Below are 7,532 nucleotides of genomic sequence, written 5' to 3'. Positions count from 1 at the left end.
TAATTTATCTAGCTTCTCTGTGGCTTAACATTCTTTTACTGAATTAGGAATAGGGTTGAGGGTGTAGCAGAGCAATAAGTAGGATACTACAGGCTGGCTTTCAGCAAAAGAGATCATTTGCTTCAAATTTGGTCACTGTTCCCACTTCTTTTCTCTGCAGTAGCCAGTGGTAAATAATTGGGGTAGATAAATGTGGATAGAAGAGATAAGTGTGGTAGAAGGTGGTACATCAGTTTTGAACAATAAAATTTTACTCCTGCTATCACCCTTTGGTGCTGGTACCATATCAATCCCTAAAGGGCAGGACCTCAGCAGGTTGGTTGAGGGGCAAGAATTACATTTAGTGTCCTTTCCCTCCCCTATCAGCTTTCCTGGCTGCCCCAGGGGTCTGTGAACAACATCAATGTAACTGATCTTATCCAAGGAAAAGATGAGTTCTTGATGGTCAGTCCTTTTCCACACTTACAGCATAGAATATGTTCCTTTTTTTGGCAGATTCTTCCTATTCTAGTTATTTGGAAAACCCCCTCTCATCCTTCTTGACCTGACACAAGTGGCATTCTCCTTGGGAAACCTTCTCCAGCACCACTAATCTCTGTCTTTTATCATTTCAAATTCCCTTGTACATCTTCTATTAGAGACTTTAACACTTTACTATGATGGTTTATTCATCTCTCTGTCTCCTCAATATATTGTTACATCCTCCAGGGAAAAGACCACACCATTTATCTCCTCCTTCTCTGCAATTATCACAAGGCTTTTCTCATAGTAGATGCTCAGTCATGGGGGCTGCTTTGGTTCACTGAATACAGAAAAGCTAATTGGCCCATATGGGGGAATGAACATGTACTCTTGACTTTTTCTATTCCCTGAGCTCTGAGAAGACAAGATTTGCATACCTTTGTTGTCCTAGGTCAAGAGAGCCGCATGCAGTTCAAAGTACTAGAGGTAGAATACAGAAATATTTGACAATATACCTCTTTAGATAGATAAAGAGGACCTATTCATATAGAGTGGGGAAAGAATCAATGAAGTTCCTGGCCCCTTTGCCTTTAACAATAGTCTTTCTGAGCAGCAGAAAAAGAAAGCCTCTAAGAAGGTGATTAATGTGAGCTCCTGCTGAGGACTTCAAATTGATCTTGGCAAAGAAAATGTCATTTCTCTCCTGTCCCTTGACTTCAGAGAGAAAACATGGAAAGAAAAGTTTCAAACAAACTGGCGTATACACAAGATATTTTCAGATAAGACGAAGGATACAGTGGGCCATCTGGGAGTAAAAAGAAGTGGATCCATCCACCCAATGATAAAAGTTCATTTTCATTATTACATTGCTTCTGCTTCAAGCTGCTTGTTGCTTGCTATCATCTTTAATAATGACATACCTGATTCTTCATGTGACACCCTGATCTCACAGTTGGTGATCCCACACCTACAGTAGCATTTCTTAATTTTTACTGTATTTATAGAATATATACTATTTGACATTTGCTCAGTTCTGTGGAAGTGGACTTAAATCAGGTTTGATCCCAGCCCTGAAGAAGCTCATATATTCTAGCAGAAAAAAAAATATGAAACATGAAATTATAATCTACTGTCAGAAAGTCATAGATAGAGATGCCTGTGAAACATACTGGTGGTATAAAAAAAAGAGAAGTATTCATTTTGTCTCTTTTTTATTTCTTCAACACACGTATATAGTGATCATATGGTCTACCAGGCTCTGGTACCAGTAGTGGCCATGTGGTCTGCCAGGCTCTGGGGTTACAGCAGTGAAAAGAAAAGTCAAACTTGCTATTTTGAAAGGTCCCCTGGCTAACAAAAGCATAGGTTTTTCAGAGATCTGAAGAGGTAACAGTGTGGCTGGAGCTCTGTGGTCAAAAGGCAGAGTGGCATAAAATGAGGTCTCAGAGCTGGGCAGGGGCCACATCATGGAGAGTTTCGTAGGCTACGCTAAAAAGTTTGTTTTTATGCTTTTGTTTTTTTGTTTGTTGCTTTTCTTAGATCATGGATTTTAGGCCAGATAGTAACAAGATATAATCTATACTTTTGAAAGATCATTTGTCTACCATGCAGAGAATGGACTTAGGTTGGTGGTTGAGGTTGAAAGAAAAGTCGAGATTGGAAGAAGAGAGATCAGTTTGGAAGTTGTTGCAGCAGTTCAGGTGAGAAATTATGGTGCATTAGGCTAGGAAGTGACACTGAGAATGGAGAGAAGAAGATGGGTGGAAATACATTCTCCAGACATACAATAAGTCAAGGATAAGCAATAACAGTTCAGGAGGAGGAGAAAACATGTAAAAACATGGGAGCAAGGAAACAGATGAGGAAACATCTTCTTCCTTGTCACTAGGAAGAGCATAATCATACCAGAAACATCACAACCACTACTCCCATCTTCACGACCATTTTCACCACGACCACCACCACTATTATCACCATCACCCCCATCATCACCATCATCATCATCATCATCACTACCACCATCACTATCATCACCATCATCATCACCACCACCATCATAACCATCTTCACCATCATTATCACCATCACCATCACCATCACCATCATCACCACCACCATCACCACCACCATCACCACCACCATCACCACCACCATCACCACCACCATCATCATCATCATCGCCACCACTATCACCATTGTTACCTCTGCTACCATCATCACTATCACCACCATTATCATCATTATCACTACCATCATCATCATTTTCTTCATTCTGCATGTCATCAAATGAGCAATAAATTGCAGTATAGAATAGTTTTAATTTACAGTAATTTTTCATCATTAACTCATTTGAATTTCTCAAGCTTAAGCTTTAGCTTCTCAATCTCTACCTACAACTATTTTCTCTAAAACCTCTTTCCAACCACTGCATTCATTGTCACTGGATATTCAGTAGCTAGATCTCTCACCATTGTCCTAACCCTTTTTATCTCCTCTATCATTATGTGCCTCCCTTTCTAATGTCATGGCTTGCTGAGACATTACCAAACTATCCTTTCTGGCCTCGTATGTTTATCATACCTTTGGCATCACCATACATCCTAACAAGTCCTTGAACTTGGGTCACACTGAGTATTCAGTTTTTCTGATTATGAACATCACAAAATCTTGCAGAGAATAACCACTACAATTCAATTCTATTTCATTTCTTTAGGAAATATATTTCACCTTTATATTATCTCTACACCATCCAAGCCCCAGTATCATATCATCCCTTCCCTCTTCAGCAGTGAGCTCACCCACTAACTCAAAGAAAAGACAAACCTTCATACAGAGTCCTGTATCTTCTCTATTCAGCAGTTTAAAATTTTTCTTTGGGTGATTCTTTTTATAATTTCAATTTATCTTTGTATCCAACTGTGTCTTTTCTCAAAGATATCAATAACATTTAACAAACTGGTAACCAGATTGTTATATTGATTGAATCTTTTGCTAAGAGCTTATCAGAGAGAGCTGCTTTTTGAAGGCTTTAAACTCTATTCTGACTGAATCTAGTGTCTAGGTAGCATCTGCCTTAATGATGACTCCGGTCACCACTATTGTATTCTTTGTATACAGAGTAGAATTTGGGGACCCGATCACTCATTTCTCAGCTCTGAGGTGAATATAATCCTGCCCTATTCCCTAGGTAATCACTGGGTTTAACACAGAAAGAAGAAGGGTGGTCTTATATTCAGGAATGTATTTTTGTTAGGTCTCTGTGCACCCCTCTACCTAGACAAAGATGCTATCATCTGCTACTCACCCACCCAGGACACTGATTTGTTAAATCATAGAAGTGTGATTTCAACAGTAACCAAAGAAGCTACACTGTTTTTTGAAATTTCATTGAATAAACTCTTAAATCCAACTCAATATTTATCAGAACACCAATTAAGAAAAACTCCAACAACAGGCTGTTACTTAAAACATATCATTGACGATTTTGGAAATTTCAAAATGTATCTCTGGACAAAGCCAAGTCACTAGATGACATTATATAGATTCTTGCAAAATTGCCTTTTCCAAAATTGTGCCTTGGTAGGATAACTTCAGGCTGTATTGACAATCATTATTTTAAAAAAATGTAAAACATTTAAAAAAATTTAAATCGTTGATGGTCGGGCATGGTGGCTCACACCTGTAATCCCAGCACTTTGGAAGGCCAAGGTGGGTGGATCACCTGAGGTCAGGAGTTCGAGACCAGCCTGGCTAACATGGTGAAACCCTGTGTCTACTAAAAGTACAAAAATTAACCTGGCATGGTGGCACATGTCTGTAATCCCAGCTACTCGGGAGGTCGATGCAGGAGTATCACTTGAACCTAGGGTGTAGAGGCTGCAGTGAGCCAAGATCATGCCATTGCACTCCAGCCTCGGTGACAGAGTGAGACTTTGTATCAAAAAAAAAAAAGAAAAAAGAAAAAGAAAAAGCATTGTTAAGGACATTGCTCTTGAGATCATATATATTTTCTTTATAAGGATCTGAAAGAGAAATTTCAATCTGATCTTTGTGACAAGAACATTTGTATTTCTCTTGAAAAAGTAGCTTGTTTTTATATCATGGGTATTGCAAGTAATGAGAAAACAGGCAAACTTTCCTCAGGAAGCTGAAAGCCAAATATTTGCTGCACCAGTTTCTGGAATACAAGTCATGACAAACTGCTTTTTAACCTCATAGCAAGTTCTATTGCACACCCTCTGTCTTGTTTTCCTAGTAACTTTCGCTCTACCTTTTCATTTCTACTACCTTGTGGTGTTGCATGTCCTGTTGGAAGCTATTGGGAATCCTGTCTGGAAAAGATGGAGGAAAAAGTAAATTTAAAAATGTTCGTAGTTTCTAGTTCCTTTGAAGCATTGCATCTCTTTTTATGCTTTTAAAGAACTTCAATCCGAGACAATCAGAACCTTTTGTGTTTAACTAGAACTCTGAACCCACTTTGAAGCATTTTGTTGGACTGAGTAAGCATGTTGATGATATCTAGCTTTGAGATGGGAAAGACAAAGCAGGTTCCTGGGAATCTTCCTCTGGAGATTTTTTCTTTCTTCCTTTGACTGAAGCTGTGCTCATACTAACAGGCAGGGTTTAGATACTGAATATGTTTGAGCCAAAAAAAAAATTCATGAATCAAAGAATGACTTTGTACTGGTGAACAGGACTCAGCCAGAAAGAAAGAAAGTTATAAATTATTAAACCAGTCTCCCAGAGCAAGATAGAGTAGTTGAAACAAAAACACAACTGTGTTGTTCCGTTTCTGTTTGGGTCTCAGAAGGTGATGAGCCTCCTCAAAACTTAAGAACAGTCTTAGAGGCAGGAGCAAAAAGGAAGCTGATTTTATTCCAGTGGGGTAGGAAGGTCAGAACATAAGCTGTGAACCCAGTTCAGAATTTGTGAATGTCATGACGGTCCATCCTGTTAGGATAACACCTTGGGATACATCAATATTCCTTTTGTTCTTTCCACACAACCCAGCCATGATCTAGAGGAATTTCTAACATCTCATCAGCTTTCAACCACATCCATTTGAAGAGAGAGATGCCAAGCGCCGTCAGCCTGTTTGTGGTATTTCTTTTCTTTTTTTATGTGCCTAGTGTTTAAAGGCTGCCCATTGAGTGAACCACAGTTGTGGGCCAGGGGGAACAAAAATAAGCTGTAGTCATTGTAGCTGGGCCACAGACATCATTCTGGGTGGCTAACTCGAATTCCCCTTAGAAGTGGGAAGAAAGATTGTAAAATATATTAAGCACATAATATGCACCAAACTTCATTTCTATATATTACAAACAGAGGCTCTGGTTCAGGACAGTCTGGGTTTGAATTCTAGTTTTGCCACTTTCTCACTTTATGACTTTGGTTAAGTTGACTTGACTCTCTTCTTCTTCAGGGTCATCATTTATGAAATGGGAATAGTGACGGTACCTGCCTCATTGGGTTTGTCAAGAAGTAGAATTGTATGTAAAGGTATGTGAGTATAATGTGGACCAGCGCCTGGCATGTACTAAGGGTGCTGTAAGTATCTGTTGTCATAATCTTGGGAAGAACTTTTAATTCCTACCCACGAATGAGTAATTGAGGCTCAAAAAGTTGACAGAGAGTGTTTGAATTTTTGGCAGACTGCTAATTGCCATCATGCATACACGTACGCGTACTCACACACACATCCACTCTTTATTATGAATAGCCGTTAGTCCTTTGCTCGAACGACAGTGATATCACTGTCCGTATGTCCTCATTACGCAAAACTCTGAATACTGGAAAGTTTTCTTTATACCTGAGGGCTTCATTAATGGGTTAAATATGTCTTCCTTTTGCCCCCCAAAACACCAGCAGGTGTAAGTTGCTAGGAACCAACTTCAGAAGAACAGGAACTGGGGGAGTTAGTATTTCCAAGACTAGCTCTTCCTGATTGTGGTGTGTGGTTTTCAGTATTCAAATATAAAACCATCTAGAAGAAGTGCTAGAGACAACAGGAAGTGCAGACCCAAAAATGCAACATAAAAGCCAGGCAGACCTAAGGAAATTATTGAGAGAGGAGGTACTGAACTGAATGAGGGCCAGAGAATTTTCAGAGTTAGGGCAAAGAGCAGAGAGCTGTGTGACTTTGCAAAAGTTATTTAACCTCTTTTAAACCCAGTAAAATGTAAATAAATGAATTAAAGTGCTTGTAAAAGAGATAGAATATGTCCAACCTATGCATTACAAAAACTATTCTCATTTTATTTATAATATTTTTGTTCTTATATTCTTTGATACAGCCTACTTGAACAGTACTCTGCCTACTTCTTGGCATTCAGTCCCTGCTAGTCTGCCCTTCTCTCCGTAAATTCCACTTAATGGTTTTCTTTTCTGTTTTTTGACAATGTCAAGCTGATAGTGCTTCAGGGCTTTTGCATTCATTCTTCCCTCCATCCTGAACTCTCTTTCTCCATATCTCTCCTAATCCCACTAATGAATGGCATTAGTGCCCATAAGAAAGAGTCCTCTGAGAACTCTCTCACTTCCCTTCCAAGTGTATCCAAGTGAGGATACAAGAAGTCAGCCATCTGCAACCTGGAAGGCAGCCCTCATCAGAATCCAACCATGCTGGCACCCTCATCCTGGACTTTCAGCCATCCAAGACCATCCCTGACCATCTGCTCCAGATAAGCTCCTCCCCTCCAAGTCCTATTTGATCATATTTGTTTATTTCCTTCACTGCACTCCTAGAAATCTGTAATTACTTATTCAGTTATTTGTTTGGTCATCACACTCTTTTCCTAGAGAATTTGAAATCTATGAGGACAGAGTCATTTTACACCTGTCCAAGCTTATCTATAATAAGCATAAGAATGGTTAATATTTATTGAGTCCTTATACACTTGCATGATTCTAAGTGGTTTTCAATATCACTCCAATTCTCACCACCACCCAAGGGGTTGTTTTTGTTATTATTGTGACTAGCAGGATTATACTTATTATTCCCATTGTATAGATGAGATAACAGGCTCAAATCTACCCAAAGCCACACTGCTGAGTGGCATGGGTGAAATTCT

The 7,532-nt window shown here is 39.2% G+C and overlaps 1 long non-coding RNA gene across 1 annotated transcript; it reads left to right on the top strand.

Moving 5' to 3' along the window:
• Window positions 1-5,472: 5,472 nt before the first annotated feature.
• On the top strand, window positions 5,473-7,227 carry LOC105371149 (uncharacterized). Its single transcript, XR_950941.2, has 3 exons — window positions 5,473-5,562; window positions 5,885-5,961; window positions 7,011-7,227. It is a non-coding gene; the product is annotated as an uncharacterized LOC105371149 (long non-coding RNA).
• The last annotated feature ends 305 nt before the right edge of the window (window positions 7,228-7,532 follow it).

The sequence above is a fragment of the Homo sapiens genome, chromosome 16, assembly GCF_000001405.40.
Source record: "Homo sapiens chromosome 16, GRCh38.p14 Primary Assembly".
NCBI lineage: Eukaryota > Metazoa > Chordata > Mammalia > Primates > Hominidae > Homo > Homo sapiens.
This window is presented reverse-complemented; position numbering and strand designations above follow the sequence as displayed.